This window comes from Homo sapiens, chromosome 17, assembly GCF_000001405.40.
Source record: "Homo sapiens chromosome 17, GRCh38.p14 Primary Assembly".
Classification (NCBI taxonomy): Eukaryota; Metazoa; Chordata; class Mammalia; order Primates; family Hominidae; genus Homo; species Homo sapiens.
In genome coordinates, this window is record NC_000017.11 from 80,051,033 (window position 1) to 80,073,362 (window position 22,330).

A 22,330-nucleotide genomic window follows, 5' to 3' on the forward strand; every position below is an offset into this window, starting at 1 on the left:
GCACGTGCTATGCAACATTACCGATAAAGCAACGTCCTTGCACAGAGCTGGTCATGTAGGTGACCGGGGACAGTGGCTTCCTCTTGTGACTACGGAGTATTTCAGTCTTTATGCTTTTTGATGTTTTCAACTTTCTCAATCAACTGTGTATTACTCTTATAATGGGGAAATGACCTACACAAACCTGGAGGAAAACAGAAGCACATGGCTATCCCAGCTGTTCTGGAAAGAAACATTTTAAACCCTGAGAAAAGTGGAAGAGGTTCTGGAAATTTCAGAGTTAGGGTAAGTGGGCACTTATCAAGCACCTCTCTTGGCTGGGCGCAGTGGCTCACGCCTGTAATCCTAGCACTTTGGGAGGCCGAGGCGGGCGGATCACGAGGTCAGGAGATCGAGACCATCCCGGCTAAAACGGTGAAACCCCGTCTCTACTAAAAATACAAAAAATTAGCCGGGCGTAGTGGCGGGCGCCTGTAGTCCCAGCTACTTGGGAGGCTGAGGCAGGAGAATGGCGTGAACCTGGGAGTCGGAGCTTGCAGTGAGCCGAGATCCCGCCACTGCACTCCAGCCTGGGCGACAGAGCGAGACTCCGTCTCAAAAAAAAAAAAAAAAAAAAAAAAAAGAAAAAAGAACCTCTCTCCAGTTAGCATCAAATGAACAGAAAACAGTAAAAGGAAAGAAAGTGACATCCACACTGAACTGAAAGAGCCACATCCTCCAGAAGTAACCAAATTTACACCCACCTGAAGGAGGACGCGTGCCCCTAACTGCTCCCCACACCTGCAGTGAGGCTGGAGCCGTGGAGCTGGTGTGGAGCGCCCTCCGGCTCCCCTCTGCTAGGGCTTAAAGAGTGGGTGGGATTCCAAAAAGATCCAAACACTCTGGTGGACTCTGCTTCCTGGAGATTAGGAGAGGGCCAGAGCCGAGGCTCTTCAACCCAGCAAGGCCTGCGTCAAACAGCACCGTCTCTGCCTTCTCAGAACTGAAGAATTTGGGCAACGGTCCCGGCCCTGACCGGGGGGCAGCCACCACTGCACAGTCCCTTAGGTGAGACGTGGGTCCTGGCCCCTGGAGAAAGCCCACGGTCACCTGCCTCATCTGGGAGGGAGACTGTATTAGGGTTGTCTAGAGGGACAGAACTAACAGGATAGATATATAGAGAAAGGAGAGTTTATTCAGTATTGACACAGGATCACAAGGTCCCACAATAGGCCGTCTGCAGGCTGAGGAGCAAGGAGAGCCGGTCTGAGTTCCAAAAATGAAGAACCTGGAGTCCAGTGTTCAAGGGCAGGAAGCATCCAGCACAGGAGAAAGATGTAGGCTGGGAGGCTACACCAGTCTCTCTTTTCACATTTTTCTGCCTGCTTACACTCTAGCCGCACTGTCAGCTGATGAGATGGTGCCCACCCAGATTGGGGGTGGGTCTGCCTTTTCCCAGGCCACTGACTCAAATGTTAATCTCCTTTGGCAACACCCTCACAGACACACCCAGGATCAATACTTTGTATCCTTCAATCCAATCAAGTTGACACTCAGTATTAACCATCACCGACACTAAACCTTCACACCAAAATGAGTTACCAACCCGAGATCCCCAGACCTGAGAGGAGACTGAGCCGGACAGACAGGCAAACCCAGCCCTGATTCTAAAAACAGAGCATGCGGAGGCACCAACTGGTAGTCTCATGAGATTTTAGAGGACGTTGTATCCGTAAAGAGAACAAAGTGTTAGGAAGAGGGGTACGTGAAATTTAAAAATATAATCATCATCCCAGAGTGTGCAGAGGCGCCAACTGGTAGTCTCATGAGATTTTAGAGGACATTGCATCCATAAAGAGAACAAAGTGTTAGGAAAAGGGGTACGTGAAATTTAAAAATATAATCATCATCCCCCCAAAAGGCACTAACTAGACAAATGAATGCAGTTGAAAACTGAATTTCTTAACTAAAAAGCCAGTTCGAGGAACCTTCCCTGGAAATAGAGCAAAACCCCAAATGATTGATATCTTGAGGAGGAGGTAAAAGACATGGACGACAGATTAGGGAAATCGAATCAGTGTCCGAAAGGGAGATTTCAGGAGATGAGAGGCAATAGCCAATGTCCAGGAGAACAGATGCGTGAGTTCAGGAAAGACGAATCTGCAGATAGAAAGACTCGTGACGGGCCATGCAGCTGAAAGAGAAAATAAACCTCCGCAGACATAGCTGGTGGGATTTCCAAATACCACGGCAAAAGAAAAAATGCTGCAGGCTTCCAGGCGGGAAAACCCAGATGGCCTCTTGAGGCCGGGCCTGGGCTACGCTTTCATCAAGGCCTCCATCAGCTGCGCCTTGGAGGAACCAGGGAGAGCTCAAAACCACCAGGACCTATCCCAGCCCAGATTTCAGATTGGTTTGTTCTGGGAAGGACCAGGCATTGTTTGTTTCTGGCTTTCTTTTTGACCCTTAAGCTTCCAGATGATGCTAACTTGCAGCCAGGGCTGAGAATCACAGATCTTAAATTTAAATAGCAGGATGTCAATGCATACAGAATTCAGAATTCTCTTTTTTGTGTTTTTTGTTTGTTTGTTTGTTTGTTGAGATGGAGTCTCTCTCTGTCGCCCAGGCTGGAGTGCAGTGGCGTGATCTCAGCTCACTGCAACCTCCACCTCCCGGGTTCAAGCGATTCTCCTGCTTCAGCCTCCCAAGTAGCTGGGACTACAGGGGCCCGCCACCATGCCTGGCTAATTTTTGTATTTTTGTAGATAACGGGGTTTCACCATGTTGGTCAGGCTGGTCTTGAACCCCTGACCTCGTGATCCGCCCACCTTGGCCTCCCAATGCATACAGAATTCTAAGGGAGAAGGATGGTTAGCATTTGACCTACATGTCAGTTAGACTCTGGAAATTAACAACAACGGGAAGTCCACGCATGAAGACTTCTGGCTGCAGCCAAATCTGCTCAGACAAAACCCATGACAGAGTTTATTTACATTTCCACAAACAAGCCTGAAAACAGACATTCTATTCGAGAAGCTAAAAAGAGGGAAATAAACTGAAAGAAGCAGAAAAATAAACCAATAAAGATCAAAAGCAGAAGCTGATGAAATAAATAAAAAATGAATTGACTTGATAAATAAACTGCTTTTTTTTTAAATGACCAATAAACCTTACACACTGCTGGCTTATCTGGCAATAAAAAGGAGATCATGCAAGTAACAGTGTTGGGAATGAGGACAACTTGGGGGAGGGTTTTTTTTGTTTTGTTTTTTGTTTTTAATTGCAAGAAAGCTATGCATTGTACTGGTTTCATCATGCAAGAAATTGAAAATGTCAAAAATCTGTTTTCCCTAAATGCACCAGTATTGGAAGATGTTATGGAAGGCTTCTAGTAACCTTTCAAGGAACAAACACTTCCTGTGTTATCAAAGCTCCAGGGCATGGAAGATTCCGGAAACTCCCCACAGGCTGGTCCTGCAATGCTTAGTGAAAGGCTGGCTGCAAACGCTGACAGCATACAAGCAGGAAACTGTAAAGCGGCCCCACATGTGAGGAGTGAAAATCCTGAACAAAATGTTAGCAAAAATAAGTAGGATTTACTTCCAGAATTCACACAGGAATAATTCACAATTAGGAAATCTACTAATTTTGTGCATTATATTTATAAATTAAAGAATGGAGGCCGGATGTGGTGGCTCACGCCTGTAATCCCAGCACTTTGGGAGGCCGAGGCGGGCAGATTACCTGAGGTCAGGAGTTCGAGACCAGCCTGGCCAACGTGGTGAAACCCTGTTTCTACTAAAAGTACAAAAAATTAGCCAGGTGTGGTGGCAGGCACCTGTAATCCCAGCTACTCAGGAGGTTGAGACAGGAGAATTGCTTGAGCCCAGGAGACAGAGGTTGCAGTGAGCCGAGACTGTGCCACTGCACTCCATCCTGGCCAACAGAGTGAGACACTGTCTCAAAAAAAAAAAATAAATAAATCAAATAAAACAAAATACAAGGATAAAAAAAAAAGGCTTCCTGGGTGGGTGCCAAATGGGTATTTAATAAAACTCATCATCCATCCCAAAGTAGGATAGAAGGAGAGTTCTAAGTATTTATCAGAAACTAACAAGAAAATGTTACCCAGTGGAAAGACTAGACTTAAAATCAGGAATGAGATGAGGAGGCCTGCTAGCATAGCAGTTACCCCAGACTGTTTTGGAGGCTCCAGCAACGCAAAGAAAACAAGAGAAAGAAATGAGATATGGATCTGGGAATGAAATACTGAAATTCTCAACCTCTACTAATGAAAAATAAAAGCCAATAGAAACAGTAAGAAATCAATAAAGTAGCTGGATACCAGCTCTGTAGTTTTCTTCTACACCAGTAATATAGTTAGGAATTACAATTTTTAAAAAAGCTCATTCATAATAGCTATAACAACTTTTAAATAAGTCCAGGAAGAAATCCAACAAGGAATGATGAGCCTGTCTGAAAAAAAACAATAAATGTTATGAAAGGTCATAAAACAGATTTAAATAAATGGAGTGCCCACGTTACCAGCTGGGAAGACGCATGATATAAAAATGCCATTTCCCTCCAAATTAGCAATAAAACCATTGCAATTCCCGTTACCCTCCGTGGTGAGATGTTTTGGGTGAACTTAAATTTATTCAACATAATTATTTACTTATTTTGGAAAAGTAATGATTCAAAATGCAAGAGCTCTACAACTAAGAGGAAGTTTTCGTCTCTTTTCCCCTTCCCCCACCCAGCCACCAGGGCCCTCCGCAGAGGCAACGTAGATTCTTGTGGATTCTTTTTGTTTTTGTTTTCTTCGAGACAGCGAGACGCATCTTGCTCTGTTTCCCAGGCTGGAATGCAATGGCAGAGTAGCCTCGAACTCCCAGCCTTAAGTGATCCTCACACCTCAGCTTCCCAAGTAGCTGGGACTACACACACACCACCAGGCCTGGCTAATTTTCATATATATATATATATATATATATATATATATATATTTTTTTTTTTTTTTGGTAGAAACAGGGTCTTACTGTGTTGCCCAGGCTGGTCTCCAATTCCTGGGCTCAAGTGATCCTCTTGCTTCGGCCTCCCAAAGTCCTGGGATTACAGGCATAAGCCACTGTGTTCAGCCCTTGTGGAGTCTTTTGGAGATTTTTTGCATATCTAAGCAAAGTCACAAGGGTGTGTGTGTATGTGTATCTCTCTCTCTCTCTTTAACTTAAATGGCTGCATATTATACCCACTGCTCGGTTCCTCGCTTGCTGTCCCTTAGCAACACGTGCTGCGGATATTCCACCTCAAAACAAAAAGCACCTCGGGCCAGGTGCGGAGGCTCACGCCTGTAGTGTTGACACTTTGGGAGGCTGAGGCTGGCAGATCGTTTGAGCTCAGGAGTTCAAGACCAGCCTGGGCAATGCGGCAAAACCCCATCTCTACAAAAAATACAAAAATGAGAAATTGGCCGGGCATGGTGGCATGTGCCTGGAGTCCCAGCTACTTGGGGGGCTGAGGTGAACCCAGGAGGTTGAAGCTGCGGTGAGCTATGATTGTGCGACTGCACTCCAGCCTGGGTGACAAAGTGACACCCTGTCTCAGAAAACAACAAGAACAACAACACTTTATTCTCAACAAATTGATTTTAAAGTTCATTTAGAAGACTAAATGCACAAAAATATCCAAGACAATTTTGAAAAGGAAGGATAATGAAAGAAATATTTAAGAATAATAACAAGTCCTTAGCCAGGCCTGGTGGCTCACGCCTGTAATCCCAGCACTTTGGGAGGCCGAGGCAAGCGGATCACAAGGTCAGGAGATCGAGACCATCCTGGCTAACATGGTGAAACCCCATCTCTACTAAAAAAAAAAATACAATTACTCGGGCGTGGTGGCGGGCACCTGTGGTCCCAGCTACTCAGGAGACTGAGGCAGAAGAATGGCGTGAACCCGGGACGCAGAGCTTGCAGTGAGCCGAGATCACCACTGCACTCCAGCCTGGGCGACAGAGTGAGACTCTGTCTCAAAAAAAAAAAAAAGAAGAATAGCAAGTCCTCAAAGAGAACTTAGAGGAAATTACTTTGGAATTTAGCTACTGCAAGCTATATTAATGCACAGGTTGCTTTTTTTTTGAGACAGAGTCTCACTTTGTCACCCAGGCTGTAGTGCAGTGGCATGATCCTCCCACCTCAGCCTCCTGAGTAGTTGGGATTACGGACGTGCACCAACACATCCTGTTAATTTTTGTATTTTGAGTAGAGACAGGGTTTCACCATGTTGGCTAGACTGGTCTTGAACTCCTGGCCTCAAGTGATCCGCCCACCTCGGCCTCTCAAAGTGCTGGGGTTACAGGCGTGAGCCACCACACCCAGCCAAAATGGCTTTGCAAGTTTAAGCTGTATCCTTCGAGCACACCTGGCTCCAGGATGATATGCGTCCAGCAGCCTTTTGGCCTGTAATTCAGTTTTCTGTTTGGATCCAGCCACTGAAAGGGAGTGCTCTGTGCAGTGAGCAAGCAAGTACTGACCCACGTGTAGCTCCCTCAATAAATTTGCACTCCAGCTTTAGAAATCCATCTCATGGCCGGGCGCGGTGGCTCATGCCTGTAATCCCAGCACTTTGGGAGGCCAAGGTGGGTGGATCAGGAGGTTAGGAGATGGAGATTATCCTGGCTAACATGGTGAAACCCCGTCTCTACTAAAAATACAAAAAATTAGCCGGGCGTGGTGGCGGGCGCCTGTAGTCCCAGCTACTCGGGAGGCTGAGGCAGGAGAATGGCGTGAACCCTGGGGGCGGAGCTTGCAGTGAGTCGAGATCGCGCCACTGCACTCCAGCCTGGGCGACAGAGCGAGATTTCGTCTCAAAAAAAAAAAAAGAAATCCATCTCATGCAAGTTTTGTTAAAGGAATCAGTTCCTCGGGCCTTGGCCTCCTCTGAGAGCACTGACATAAATCTGTCACTTAACTTGGGACAGGATGGAAGCTGCTGCCTCTTCTAGCCTCGTCCTCTCTGGCCTGCACTGCTGTGCAGCGGTGTCAGTGCAGGGGCATCTGTGGAGCTCAGCCTGCCCTGGATGTTCTCGTCTCCTCCCAGGGGACTTAAGACTCCACCTAAGGTTGCCAGCCTTTCAGTGGTAAGACATCTATGCAATCAACCCGAAGCCTTACCACCTGGCACTACTTCAGTGTATCCTTAGACTACCAGGAGGATCTCTGAGACTTGGTGGGGAATGGAACAGCTTGCTGCAATTTGTGGATGTAGATTCCGTATATTTTTGTCTCTTCCAAGAGACTGTAAACTCTTTGCTGACAAAGTCTGTGTCTTGATAGTTTAAAAGCAGTTTCCCAGTCTTACCCAAAAATGGCAGGAAGGGTGCCCAGAACGGCTGTTCCCTGCTTCCTCCTGGGTCTCTGCATGGGGGACGCTGGGACAGCCTCCCCACTCACTCTCTCTCTCTTTCTCCCCCGCCGCGCCCCGCAGTGGCGGCTCTGCAGACTGAGATGGAGAACTTGGCCCTGCATCTCTTCTACATGCAGAACATCGACCAGGACATGCGTGACGACATCCGCGTGATGACACAAGTGGTAAAGAAGGCCGAGACGGAGAGGATCCGGGCAGAAATCGAGAAGAAAAAGCAGGTATTCTGCAAACTCGACACATGTTTAATGATCACCAGACCGTGGAGCTTCAAAAAGGGGCTCAGCTTTGCCTCCTGCGTGAAGGCTTCCGGCCGGAGGGGTGGCGGCCGGCCTGGGTGGCGTCAACTTGTATCAAGGGTTGGTGGAGAACAGGCCCTCAGCCACGGGCACCTCCTGACGGGGCTGCTTCTCATCCTGTTTCCCAGGACCTGTATGTGGACCAGCTCACCACTCGAGCCCAGCAACTGGAAGAAGACATTGCCCTGTTTGAGGCTCAGTACTTGGCCCAAGCTGAGGACACCCGGATTTTAAGGAAAGCAGTGAGTGAGGTAAAAGCAGTCCCCGCAGCTCTCAGTGTTCGACCCTCCAGTGAGTGTCCACGCACAGGGTGCTGGTGGGTCTACTAGACTGCACCTGCCCGTCTGCTGGATGAGTGACTGCAGCCAGCTTACATCTGCAAACATCGGGCCCTCCCCATGGTGGGGCCACAGTAGATACTGACAGGTGGACAGCCCGGATTCCTATTCCTTCCCTGGCTAGTGGGTGACAGAAGGCCTCGCAGGGTTCAGGTACTCTAGTCGCTTCATGACCGCCAAGGCCAGCTTGCTGCGGGGATGCTCAGCAAGTTCCTTAGCCTGCAGGGACCTCTTCCGGGGAGGACTGAAGTCTTTCTAACAATTCTCACCCCCGTGGGCAGCCGGCCTTCCGGGTAGCTCCTACATCTCTGCACCTCGTGGAGTAGGGAGTGGAGGGAACGAAGGGGGTGAAAGCTGCTCCCTCTTGGCCCCAGATTCAGGTCTGTAGTGGTAGCACCAGAAACCAAAGTTACTGCAACTTAAAAAAAAAAAAAAAAAAACTATGAGTCACCATCTTCATTCACGGGTGCGGGAATGACACGGAGGAAACAATTAACTTTTTTTTTTTTTGAGACAGAGTCTCGCTCTGTCGCCCAGGCTGGAGTGCAGTGGCACAATCTCAGCTCACTGCAACCTCCGCCTCCCAGATTCAAGCAATTCTCCTGCCTCAGCCTCCAGAGTGGCTGGGACTACAGGCGCCCACCTCCATGCCCAGCTAATTTTTGTATTTTTAGTAAAAACAGGGTTTCACCATGTTGGCCAGGTTGGTCTCAAACTCCTGACCTCAGGTGATCCACCCACCTCGGCCTCCCAAAGTCCTGGGATTACAGTCATGAGCCACCGTGCCCAGCCAATGAAAAAGAAGGAAGAGGACTTGAAGGAACGGATGAGCACGCTGGGCTCCCAGGGTAAAGGGAGGGCCCGGGGCTGGGCGTTACTCAGCACTGGTCTCTCCAGCTACAAATGCAATTAAAGTAGAGCACGTCCCAATCAGAATCTCAGGAACAAACAATCCCTTAGTTAACAAAACAATTCTGGAGTTTTATCTGAAAAATAAATTAGGAAGGCTAGCCAAGAATGGTTTTGGAAGAGAAGATTCAAACGGGGCAAGCAGCCATCCCAGTCTGCTCAGGACTGAGGGGTCCCCAAGACAAGGGACTTTCCATGCTAAGCCCAGGGGGTCCTGGACACAGCAGGATGGCAGATCACCCTAGCATCGCCGCACCAAATATTAAAGTATACAGTAAAGCTCTGGCCAGGCAAGGTGGTGCACACCTGTAATCCCAGCACTTGGGGAGGCTGAGGCAAGAGGATGGCTTGAGCCCAGAAGTTCAAGACCAGACTGGGCAACATGGTGAGACCCTGTCTCCACAAAAAAATAATAATTAAAAAAAAATAAAACATTAGCCCACCATGGTGGTGTGCACCTGTGGTCCCAGCTACTCAGGAGGCTGAGGCAGGAGGATCACTTAAGCCCGGGAGGTCAAAAAAAAAAAAAGAACAACAACACTTTATTCTCAACGAATTGATTTTAAAGTTCACTTAGAAGACTAAATGCTCAAGAATACCCAAGAAAATTTTGAAAAGGAAGGATCATGAAAGATCCTTGAACTATGAAAGATCCAATGAAATATGATCATACCACTGCACTCCAGCCTGGGCTACGGAGCAAGACCCTGTCTAAAATAAAACAAAACCGTAAAGTTCTAGAGGCTAAAATAATGTGTCACAAGATAGACAGGCAAGACATTGAAGCCTATGAGAGAGCCCCAAAGCAAGCCAGAGTTTATATAAAAACCTAGTAGATTATAAATTACCAGAGAGCTAATGAATTATGCATCCAATGATGTCGGGACATTTGGTTAATCATTTGGGAAAAAATTAAATCTTTTCCTCATACCAGACACTAAAATAAATTCCAGATGGAATCAAGTATTTAAATGGGGGAAAATGTGCCAGACGAAAACAAATGAAAATATTTATATAATCCTGGGCTGGGGAGGCCTTTCAAAGTATAACACCAAAAGCAGGAACCTTAAAGGAAAAGACTAGGAGGGGCCGGGTAAGGTGGCTCACGCCTGTAATCCCAGCACTTTGGGAGGCCGAGGCCGCTGGATCACCTGAGGTCAGGAGTTCGAGACCAGCCTGGCCCGCATGGCAAAACCCCATCTCTACTGAAAATACAAAAATTAGCTGGGCGTGGTGGTACACGCCTGTAATGCCAGCTACTTGGGAGGCTGAGGCAGGAGAATCGCTTGAACCCAGGAGGCAGAAGTTGCAGTGAGCCGAGATCATGCCATTGCATTTCAGCCTGGGCGACAGAGCCAGAATCCATCTCAAAAAACAAAACAAAACAAAAGACTAGGAGGACAATCACACCCTCAATAAAACCTTTGTAGATTAAGGACGCCACAAACCAGATGAAGGCGGGGAGACAGGCAGGAGAAGACAACTCGCAGCCATTAGTAAATCCGGGGTTGTGAAGAGAGGCTGAAAGCCAAGGAGACTCGCCCTGTGTGCTTCCACACCCTGGAGGCAGGTGGGCTACTTGGTAGATGCTTCCTTTTGCACCTCCCGCCCTCCCCTCGATGCAACTTCCCCAGGGAAGGGGGCCGCCCGCACTTCCTTCATTTCTCATTTCCAGTACCCAGAACAGTGCGGGGGCAACAGCAGGGCCCCTGTTCATCGAGCGAAGTCACAAGTAACCAAAGGACAGGGAGTCCCCTACAGAGTTGGCAAAGATAAGGAGAGATGAGCCCTCCCTGCTGTCGGCCATGAAAATACAGATTGGCCTTTATCTTTATCAAGATCTTCATCCAGGGCGATATGATCATATGCAGCCACTCCCTCCCTAACCCTAACCCTAACCCCGCACCCTGTTAGTGCTTAGACTCCATTCCAAGGAACCTAGCAAAGACCTATGCAGATAACATTTTTGTATGTTAAAAATGATAAAGCCAGGCTTGGTGGGGTGCACCTGTAGTCCCAGCTACTCAGGAGGCTGAAGCAGGAGGAGCACTTGTGCCCAGGAAGTCAGGGCTGCAGTGAGCTATGATTGCACCACTGCACTCCAGCCTGGGTGACAGAGTGAAACCCCCGTCTCTAAAGAAATAAATACAGTGAATAGAGACTCATGGGGGAGATGACGCTCATCACCGTGTTGTGTCATCAGAAAGAAAGACCCCAAGAAGAGGACATTAGTGAAACCCATTTTCATACACCTGTGCATCAGAATACACTACACCAAAAAGAGCTCTACTGACATGGAAACCTGTCTCGATATTAATTTCTTATTTTAATTTTTTTTAAATTATACTTTAAGTTTTAGGGTACACGTGCACGATGTGCAGGTTTGTTACATATGTATACATGTGCCATGCTGGTGTGCTGCACCCATTAACTCGTCATTTAGCATTAGGTATATCTCCTAATGCTATCTCTCCCCCCTCCCCCCACCCCACAACAGGCCCCGTTGTGTGACGTTCCCCTTCCTGTGTCCATGTGTTCTCATTGTTCAATTCCCACCTATGAGTGAGAACATGCGGTGTTTGGGTTTTTGTCCTTGCAATAGTTTGCTGAGAATGATGGTAGAGACTAAGTCTCACTCTGTCCCCCAGGCTGGAGTGCACTGGGGCCCTCATGGCTCACTGTAGCCTCAAACTTCTGGGTCCAAGCAATCCTCCCACCTCAGCCTCTCAAGTAGGTAGGACTATAAGCACATGCCACCACACCGTGCTAATTTTTTTATTATGATTATTCTTTTTGTAGAGACGGTGTTTCTTTTTGTTGCCCAGACTGGTTGGGAACTCCTGGCCTCAAGTAATCCCCCCGCCTCAGCCTCCCAAAGTGCTGGGATTACGGGCATGAGCCACCGCACCTGGCACAATACATTAATTTTTAATATGGCGGGGCATGGTGGCTCACACCTGTAATCCCAGCACTTTGTGAGACCGAGGTCGGCAGATCACCTGAGGGTCAGGAGTTCGAGACCAGCCTGGCCAACATGGTGAAACCCCGTCTCTACTAAAAATTCAAAAATTAGCCAGGCGTGGTGGCGAGTGCCTATAATCGCAGCTGTTCGGGAGACTGAGACAGGAGAATTGCTTGAACTCAGGAGGCGGAAATTGCAGTGAGCCAAGATCGTGCCATTTTGCTCCAGCCTGGGTGACGAGAGTAAAAGTGTCTCAAAAAAAAAAATTAATAGGAGATTATGAAACAATATATAGAATTTGATTTCGCACACACACACAATCACAGGTGTAAGAAGTTAGAAATGGTTATCTCTAAGTGTTAGGGTTATTGAATTTTCATTTTCTTTTTGCTTATTTGCACATTCTATTTGCATAGGCTGAACACTTGCCTTTGTGAAAAACTGGGGTCTAAATGCACAGGTGACTGAGCCCGGCAGCCATCTTTCCATCCTTATGCCTTGACCTGCACCTCAGTCAACCAGGCTGTGGCCGGCAGCCTCAGGGGCACCATGGGGAGGCCTCGCACAGGCTCAGTTTAAGGTGCATCCTGGCTGAATTTGGGTCCCCACCTGCTGCCTGGGCCAGCTCCCACTGCCCAATGGCACAGAGCAGCCTCCTTAGTGAATAACTTACCCCCATACAAAACTGTGACCCAGCAGTCCCACGACTGGGCATTTATCCAAAGGAAAGGGAATCCGTGCATCCAATAGACACCTGCACCCCCATGGCCAGGCTGGTCTCGGACCCCTGACCTCAGGTGATCCGTCCGCCTTGACCTCCCAAAGTGCTGGGGTTACAGGCATGAGCCGCCGCACCTGGCCCAGTCAACAATAATTTATTGTACATTTTCAGATAGCTAGAAGAGAGGGTTTTGAATGTTCCCAACTCAAAGAAATAACAATTGCTGGAGGTGACTGATACGCTAATTACCTTGATTCAAGCAGTACACATTGTACATGTGTCGAAATATCACTCTGTACCCCAGAGATATACAGCTGTAACATGTCAGCTAAAATAAAAGGAAATACTACAGACAAAAGGGAAGTCAGTCCCGGGATGTACACAGTGTCCCTTCCTAGGCTGCCCAATAATCCTAAGTAAGCGTCTGTGAGAGGAAAAAAAAGTCCCCCTCATCGTGGTATACTTAATTCACACCATTTTAGGTTACGTCGTAATGAATAGATGGTTCAGAAACCCTCACAGCCAAGCATGGTGTCTCCAGGGCGATGGCCTCTCTCATGCCCGGCGCTGCCCTCGGCTCCCCCGTGATGTTCTAGCGCACTGTGGTTCAGTCACTGTCTACCAAGCTTGCCTGGGTGTCACGGCGTGCAGGCACTTCTGGGACTTGGCGTTCTACAGGACGCCCCAGTTGGCTGACTCGGGCCGCCAGCTTGCTCAAGTCACAGTGCTTGCATTGGGGATGACTCATCAAGAATCCCAAACACCACTCAAAACAAGACCGCGATCCAGGCCGTGCTGGGCATGCAGGCATCAACTCACTTGACCCGGCAGCCCCGGGGTCGCTCCTGTACCCATGGAGGTGCCGCTCCTGTACCCATGTCACAGCTGGGGACACTGAGGCACAGCGGGTGAGATTCAGCCCAGGCAGCCGTACCAGCCTTAACCTCTGTGCCCCAAGCATAAAGGAACTCCCCTTTCCCTTGGAGTAAATTCCTGAACCACCCCCCTAGTTTTCAAGCCCCTCCCCTGCATGGGCCAAGCCCTTACTGCAGGTGGCCCCTCACTGCCCCCCACGATGCCCCTAGACTTCCAGCCTCCGCTCAGCCTGCCTGACCTGCCCACCCCTGGCTGTCCAGTTGTGCCTCCTCATTCCCAGTCTAGGCAGCCCTGCTTCCCCCAGCTGGACGAGAGCATCCAGCCCTGGCCATTCTTGAGACAAACACCTCCTTCCATCATGGCCTCCCTACAGGAAGCGGTGCTGGGCCCGTCCTGTGGGACCTCAGTCCGAATCAATGACACCACCAACCCTGCAGAGGTGTTTCACGGATGCTGGCCAGGATCCCCTCCTCCTCTCCCTCCTCCTCTCCCTCTTCCTCTCCGTCTTCCCCCTCCCCCTCCTCCCTCTCCCCCTCCTCCCTCTTTCATCTCCTCCCCCTCCCTCTCCCCCTCCTCCCTCTTTCATCTCCTCCCCCTCCCTCTCCCCCTTCTCCCTCCTTCATCTTCCCCCTCCTCCCTCTCCTCCCCTCTCCCTCCTTCATCTTCCCCCTCCTCCCTCCCCCTTCCTCCCTCTCCTCCCTTCCCTCCTCCTCCTCATTCCCAAGCACTGAGCACCGCAGGCCCTGAGCAAAGGCTCAAAGCGGGTACGGGTTATCTTGAAAGCTACATTCAGGCTCGTGTTTACCCCTCTGCAGATGCATGATCAAGGAAAGTACCGGTGATAGAAGGAAAAGAGGAAGATTTGGGAATGTGAGGCTCTGGTGTTCTTGGGCTTTGCTCGCAAATGAAATGAGACAGCCATTCCTGCCCCCTCCCCTGTTGGCTGCAGGCCTGCACCGAGATCGACGCCATCAGCGTGGAGAAGAGGCGCATCATGCAGCAATGGGCCAGCAGCCTGGTGGGCATGAAGCACCGCGACGAGGCGCACAGGGCGGTGCTGGAGGCGCTCAGGTACTGCAGGGCCACAGGCAGCGAGGATGTGCGGGAACCCCAGGGGTCCGTGGCAGGCCCGCCCCACACCCCCTCTCTCTGGGTCCACCGGATCTCTGGGACAGAGGGTGCACCTTGATCCCCGGGTCCGGGCTTCCGTCCGGAAAGCTCCCTCATTGTTTGGTAAGATTTCAGCGATTCTTAAATCCTTTCCAACACTGCGGCGCTGGGAGGGGAGAGGCTTTTCTGCTCAGATTTCCTGGCAGGATTAAGTAGAAACAGAGCAGGGTAAAGAGAAAGCTATCTTTGGGAGGTAAAGGTGTCCCTTTGATTTGCAGTATCACCACCTGAGTGCGGAAACCCCATCCCTTCTCGATTGTTCTGCCTGAGGGCTGCATTCCAACCGAAATCCTATTTTAATCTCCAAAGGAAGGGGAGGAAGAGGCCTCCTCTGGGCATCCCCTCACTTCTGGGGATGGATGCGTGGCTCAGGGCAGGGCGTTGGAGACACAGGTGCTGCCTTCATTCCTAAAACCACCCAGGGTGACCAGGTCTCGGGACGCGGAAAGAAAAAGCCGGGCACTGTGGTGGCACGTGTCTCACCCGCTGAGCTTTAACTTCCCCTCCACCTTTCGTAGTCTCCACCCCTTGTGCCCAGCACAGAGCCTGGCATACAGCAAGCGCTCAAGAAAGGCTGGACCAAGGAATGAGGGTCTGGCTGGCCCCACAGCACCCGCAGCCAGGCAGCCAGCAGCAGTCACACAACCAGGAGATGCTTTTCCTTTTGGGTGCTGTGATTAAAGAAACAAAATGAAACCATTTTGTTTTTAAAAGTTTTTAGACCAAAACATTTTCAAATGAATAATATTGGATTAACCATACTCATTTCTGGCCAGGCGCAGTGGCTCGCACCTGTAATCCCAACATTTTGGGAGGCTGAGACGGGTGGGTCACGAGGCCAGGAGTTCAAGACCAGCCTGGCCAAGATGGTGAAACCCCGTCTCTACTAAAAATACAAAAATTAGCCAGGCATGGTGTGGGCGCCTGTAATCCCCGCTACTCGGGAGGGTGAGACAGAGAACTGCTTGAATTGCGGAGGTTGTAGTGAGCCGAGATCACGCCACTGCACTCTAGCCTGGGAGACAGAGCAAGACTCTGTCTCAAAAAAAATAAAAATAATAATAATACTCATTTCCTTCACTCCCTTGAGTCAACAACATAAAGCCAAAGGGAACACTGTGGTTTGATACAGGCGATGTTTGGCTGAAGCTTCGTTTCCCCTGTAAAGATGCAGGTCGAGGAACCAGAGCCAGCTGTGGCCGGGCAAGGGCTCCTCTCCCTGTGTCACCAGGGTTGCCTGAACACCAGGACGAGAGGACTTGGCCATCTGCCCACTTGGGTGTCTTTTTCCTCCTGCCCCAATGCTAGGACTTGATACCTGACTGTTTAATTACACGGCTCAGCTGCCACGGGCCTTAAGAAAAGTCAAGGCCAGGTTCTCTCTGAGGGTCCAGCACCTGGCCTGGCTCTCCGAGGCTCATGGCCTGTGAACCCTGCAGCGTCCCCAAGGGAAGACGTCACCTCCGAGATGGTCCTGTTGTCCAGCTCTCCCCTGCATCCCAGACTAACCAGTGTCCTCTCTGCAAACCGTCCTCATTGCCCTCAGAGACATGGCTTCCTTTTGGTTGCAAACATTGTAAAAATCGTATTCGATCAGGTCTCCTCCTCCTCGGCCCGCAGTCACTAGAACCCCCTCCCAAGACAAGCAAAGGCACCTGGTTTTCTGGGATCCCCTGCCTAACTTGTGTGCAATTGCAAGAAAGCATATGCGTTCACCCGGAGTCTTCCTTCCCTCTCTTGCTCCGTGGGAGCACACCACACTCACTGTTCTGCACCTCTTTGCTTTTTCCATTTAACAGCGTGTCCCTAGAGCGCTTCCCAAGTCAAAATATAAACACCGCTCGTTCCCGCCTTTCTACCACATGGCATTCCGCTGGGATACTTCTACGGGGAAGCTTCCTGCCCGGGGCATCGAGGGCGTTCGCGTCCGTCTGTTATGGCGGTGCTGCTGTAGATAACCGGATCCGCGAATGCTAACGCTCACCAGGATGCTATATAGCCTTTTTTATATTGCCTATCAAGCCCGGAATGTCTGGGTCTAGCGGGTATTGCTAAGTAGGATTGTGACAGTCACGCCCCCGGCAGCGGTGTTTCAAAGTCCCCTGACAGCTCAGCATGTTGTCACACTTCAGGACTGTGCCAATCCGATTGATGAAGAAAATAGATAATCTTGTTTTATAAAACGTGCATGCGCAGAATGTTGAGTGAATATTTTAGTGGACTATGTACACGCACAAACACTTCACAACGAGTGAGAGAGCCTCTGACTTCACCTGCAGCTTGCCACACCAAGGCCCCGGGGAGGAGTGAGGCCCAACTTTTATTTATTATATTTTTGTGGTTCTTGCAATGGAGTCTCGCTCTGTCCCCCAGGCTGGAGTGCAGTGGCACCATCTCTGCTCACTGCGACCTCCGCCTCCTGGGTTCAAGCGATTCTCCTGCCTCAGCCTCCCAAGTAGCTGGGATTACAGGCGTGCACCACCACGCCTGGCTAATTTTTGTATTTTTAGTAGAGACGGGGTTTCACCATGTGGGCCAGGCTGATCTTGAACCCCTACCTCAGGTGATCCACCCGTCTTGGCCTCCCAAAGTGCTGGGATTACAGGCGGGAGCCACTGCGCCCGGCCAGTCTTTTAAAAGTGCAGGCCGTGTAGAACATTGTGAGAAGTATAAACTGTAATTACAGAGATTTGCTGTTTGCACCCAGATAGATTTGAAGAAGCAACTTGGAGACAGGTTTAATAGATCAGGGCCATTATTACAGAAATAAATTATTGCATAGCTTAGGACTTCCAAGCTAGGAGTGCAGTGACTGAACTATACCTCAAATATTGACCTTGAGATGTTCAGATTTGTAGAGCATCTTAGAAAATGGTGACATTCCTGGCTGATGGTCAGGATGGTGCATACCAGGCCGGTACCCTGGTGGCTGTCTGGGCATTTCTGGAGCCTTCACCCTGCGAGATCCCCATGGGGCAGGACCCCCTGGCCCAGAAGCTTGGTTTTGCCATCACACCGAGAAGGCACACTTGTCCTGGAGTTAGTTTACATGAATCGAGCTCACCAGAGCCTGACGTGTAACTGAGTATAATAGCCCATTTATGTGCATGATGAAATATAAACACCAAAGAACCGAATGCTCCACGCTCGGACTAGCAGATTCTTATCTGTGGGGGAGGACACAGGAGCGGATGACACAGACCCCTGCTCAGGGACCGGCTAGAGGGCGGAATGCCTGGGCCCCGGCCCTGTCTGCTTCCTGCTTCTTCCCCGAAGTTCATGGCCTGTCCGTCCACATGGGCGGGAGGTGTCCCGCGAGCAGCCCTCACCCTGACCTTGGCTGCTTTCTCCATTCCATTCCCCACCCCTCCTCCCTCCTGACACCCATGGCATTTTTTCAGATAAGTTAATACCTTTGATTAGGTTCCAGCCAAACCTCACCCTTTCTCTTTCCCCATGCCTTTGTGTCTCTCTTCGTCTGATGTCGAGTCTACAACCTAATGCTTTGAAGACAGACTGACTTCCCCGTCCTTGGTCAGGGGGTTGCTGCTGCGTGGGGGGGGCGGTAACCATAATCTTGCCCCCGTGTCTCATACACAAGCTGCAAGCTTAGCTCAGAAGCTGTGCCTGTCTTGGCTGCTTTTTCTTGCTGTCTTCCCTATTTTTGCAGGAGTTTTGCACACGGTCATAAAAGTTCAGGAGAAACATGAAACGTGTTATTCTGTTTCCTGTTTAAGTCGACCTGAGGAAGCTGAAGGGGTCAGGCGCGGTGGCTCACGCCTGTAATCCCAGCTCTTTGGGAGGCCGAGGCGGGCAGATCACGAGCTCAGGAGCTGGAGATTGAAACCATCTTGGCTAACATGGTGAAACCCCGTCTCTACTAAAAATACAAAAAAACAGCCAGACCTGGTGGCGGGCACCTGTGGTCCCAGCTACTCAGGAGGCTGAGGCAGGAGAATCGCCTGAACCCGGGAGGTGGAGGTGGCGGTGAAGCAAGATGGTGCCACTGCACTCCAGCCTGGGTGACAGAGCGAGACTTCGTCTCAAAAAAATAAGAAAGAAAAAGAAAAAAAAGAGAGAGAGAGAGACAGAGAGAGAGAGAGAAAAAAAGAAAGAAAGAAAAGAAAAGAAAACTGAGGGCTTGCCCTAATCTCCTAGACTTCCTTTTCCCTCAGTCCTGATGATGGCAGAGACGACTCCTCAAAGGCTCTTCCCCTTGGCATGGAGTGCTGGAGCCTGCCCTAGGGAGGGAGGACAGGATGGAGCAAGACACTGAACGCAGAATTAGAGCTAGGCAACGAGCGGGTGATTTCACTGTTTCCTGGGTAACAAGCCCCAGGCTCAGCTCGGTCTGGTGTAGCCCCTCAAAGGGGACACTGTCCTTGCCCCCAGTTGATGGAGGAGGAAGGAGCGGAAGGCAGTGTGGGATGGGTTGGGTGTGGGCATTGCCACAGTGTCCCCAGCAGGCCTCCTTCTAGCCTGGGGATCTGGCAGGTGGGTCCCAGTCACCACCAATGCCCCATATACCCAAGGACACTGGTGACCCAGCAGACCTGAGGCCACAGACCAAAGACAGAGTAACAACCCCATTAAAAATGTGCCCCCATGGGCGGGCATAGTGGCTCCTGCCTGTAATCACAGTGCTTTGGGAGACTGAGGCAAGAGGATCCCTTAAGCCCAGGAGTTCAAGACCAGCCCGGGCAACATAGTAAAGTAAGACCTTGTCTCTAAAATAAAATATAAAAAATAGCCAGGTGTGGTGGTGTGTGCCTGTGGTCTCATCTACTTGGGAGGCAGAAGCAGGATGATCACTTGAGTCCAGGAATTTGAGGCTGCAGTGAACTGTGATTGCACGAATGCACTCCAGCCTGGGCAACAGAGCAAGACCCTGTCTCTCAAAAAATTTTTAATTAGCGGGGCATGGTGGTGTGCACCTGTAGACCTGTAGTCCCACCTACTCGGGAGGCTGGGTGGGAGGATTGCTTGAGCCCAGGAGGTCGAGGCTGCAGTGAGCCGAGATGGTGCCACTGCACTCCAGCCTGGGCAACAGAGCCAGAGCCTGTCTCAAAAAAATAAAAAAGTGTCCCCAGACACAGGGGCATGGGTGAGGCCTGTCAGGACTGCTGTGGTAGCTCATGGTGTCCTGTCCCTTCTTCCCACCAGGGAATGACCGTGGCTGTGGGCACACCCCCTGTCCATCTGGGCCTGCCTGTGGGAGCTGGACACTGCCCTCCCCAGCAGCCAGAAGTCCTGAAGGAACCGTGTGTGACCCTCAAGACCAGACCGGGCCTGCCACACCAACCCTTCAAAGACCGCAGCGGTCCAGGCAATCCAACGTGGGTCCCAAAGCTAGGTGAATAACCACGAGGAGCCCACGGTCAGCCCCTTCCCATCACATACGCAGGGAAATGGGTCACTTTCACTTTCAGAAAACAAAGCCTGGACCGCACTTAACTTGGAGGCAGATAACCTAATCAGAATTCACACACGCCTGGGACTTGGAGCCAAAAGCACCCGTGCTCTTACCTGCCTTTGTCCTATTTCCTGGCGGGAAATACAGAGGGCAGACAGGTCTTGGCCCGCAGCCACAGCCCCTTTACCCCAAGATGTGACTCGGTCAGCCACACGGCCTCACAGCCTCCTCCCAGGCCCTCAGCTGTGGCCACGGCAGCCAGGCAGGCCGACCCAAGGACAAAAGCCACGGGCAGTGTCCTGGGAGAGAACCCGGCCTTGACCACAGGCTGCTGGACACCTCCTGTGTCCCCCCCTTAATCCTCAGAGGCACGGTGCCCAATGCCTGGGCCATATTCCAGATTCCATCCGTTCTTTTTGTTTCATTTACAGACAGTCCCCGACGTCACGATTTTTGGACTTTACCATGGTATTAAAGCAACAGGCAGGCAACAGAAACTGGGCTTTGAGTCCCACACAACCTCCCTGGTTTTCAGCACGGTATTCAATAAATTACATGGATGCCCCACACTTTATTATCAAACAGGCTTCGTGTGAGATGATTTTGCCCACCTGTAGGCTCATGGGAGTGTCCTGAGCACGTTTGAGGGAGGCTGGGCTGAGCCGGGGTGCCTGGCAGGAAATCTGCAGGAAGTGCATTTTGGGTTTTTCAGCTTTTTTTTTTTTTTTTTTTTTTGAGATGAAGTTTCACTCTTGTCGCCCAGGCTGGAGTGCAATGGTGCGATCTCAGCTCACTGCAACCTCCACCTCCTGGGTTCAAGTGATTCTCCTGCCTCAGCCTCTCAGGTAGCTGGGATTACAGACATGCACCACCACCATGCCCGGCTGATTTTGTATTTTTAAAAGAGACGGGGTTTCACCATGTTGGCCAGGCTGGTCTTGAACTCCTGGCCTCAGGTGATCTGCCCCCACTTGGCCTCTGAAAGTGCTGGGAATTACAGGCGTGAGCCACGGCACCAGCCTGCATTTTGGACTTAGGATATTTTCAACTTACGATGGGTTTGCCGGGCTGCATCCCCACCGTAAGCTGAGGAGAACCTGTACTTTCTATTGGTGCCTGCTGATCTACGGAGTTTTTAAAGTACGATTTAAAAAAATAATAATCCTTATCAAGGATAAGTGATTGCGTTACAGGACATTTGAAAAACAGAGAAAAGGATTTAAAAATACCATCGACTTTCTCTTTTTGTGACAAGAAGACTCATTAGCATGTCAGCACACTCTCAGGCACACATTTCCCCGAGTGTTAGGAGTTCTGTTGCACAGTTTGTAACTGTATCTTTTTAAATTGGGCATCTTATTTTTATTGTCAAATTTAGACATTTATAAGGCTGCTCCTTCCTAAAAAAAGAAAATGAGTAACTTATTTACTTGAAGTCAGGATGACTGGGGATAATTTATGTACAAAATTGCATACCTCCAGCCCTGGCAACCGCTGTGCCGCCTTCTGTGCCTATAGCTCTGCCATTTCTAGAATGTCATATAAATGGAATCGCGCAGTCTGTAGCTTTTCTTGTCTGGCTTCTTCCACTTGGCATCATGCTTTTGAGACCCACCCATGTTGCAAGATCAGTAGTCTGTTCCTTTTTATTGTTGAATAGTATTCCCTTGCACGGATACATCAGATGTATTTGTCCATCCACCAACTGATGGACATTTGGCTTTTACCTTTGGAATACCGTGAAGAAAGCTGCTGTGGCTGTCCTGAAAAGATCTTTGCATGGAGACGTGTTTCCGTTTCTCCCGGGTAAATACAGGCGCATCTCGTTTCAGTGTGCCTCGCTTTCTCCTACTGCGTGGAATCGCTTTTGTTTGTTTGTTTGTTTGTTTGTTTGTTTGTTTTTGAGATGAGTTTCACTCTGTCACCCAGGCTGGAGTGCAGTGGGGCGATCTTGGCTCACTGCAACCTCCACCTCCCGGGTTCAAGCAATTCTCCTGCTTCAGCCTCCAGAGTAGCTGGGATTACAGGCACATGCCACCATGCCCTGCTAATTTTTTGTATTTTTTAGTAGAGACGGGGTTTCACTGTGTTAGCCAGGATGATCTCGATCTCCTGACCTCATGATCCACCCGCCTCAGCCTCCCAAAGTGCTGGGATTACAGGAATCGCATTTTTTACAAATTGAAGGTTGACGGCAGCTCCGTGTGGAGCAAGTCCACCGGCACCATCTCTCCAGCGGTGCGT

At 50.0% G+C, this 22,330-nt stretch overlaps 1 protein-coding gene and 1 long non-coding RNA gene across 4 annotated transcripts in view, besides 1 other annotated feature; one reads left to right on the forward strand and one right to left on the reverse strand.

The window, feature by feature from the left end:
• The window catches only part of CCDC40 (coiled-coil domain 40 molecular ruler complex subunit), a 63,972-nt gene that overhangs the window by 14,391 nt on the left and 27,251 nt on the right, over nt 1–22,330 (forward strand). For 2 of the 3 annotated variants that reach the window (NM_017950.4, NM_001243342.2), the window contains exons 8-10: nt 7,462–7,619; nt 7,826–7,948; nt 14,453–14,574. In NM_017950.4, coding sequence (NP_060420.2) covers nt 7,462–7,619; nt 7,826–7,948; nt 14,453–14,574 — 403 coding nt within the window. Of the gene's footprint in view, nt 1–7,461; nt 7,620–7,825; nt 7,949–14,452; nt 14,575–16,472; nt 18,386–22,330 lie in introns of those variants that run through there. The other variant, NM_001330508.2, reaches the window with a different exon arrangement.
• LOC124904074 (uncharacterized) lies at nt 7,234–20,504 on the reverse strand. The gene is made up of 2 exons (XR_007065931.1): nt 20,200–20,504; nt 7,234–8,453 (listed from the first exon to the last, which is right to left on the reverse strand). It is a non-coding gene; the product is annotated as an uncharacterized LOC124904074 (long non-coding RNA).
• Nucleotides 14,860–15,684: an enhancer, noted in NCBI's record as "NANOG-H3K27ac-H3K4me1 hESC enhancer chr17:78039691-78040515 (GRCh37/hg19 assembly coordinates)". NCBI's record gives its function as "activates a minimal SCP1, AML or CMV promoter by ChIP-STARR-seq in naive H9 embryonic stem cells {active_cell/tissue: H9 hESC(naive)}" and the evidence as "EXISTENCE:reporter gene assay evidence [ECO:0000049][PMID:30033119]".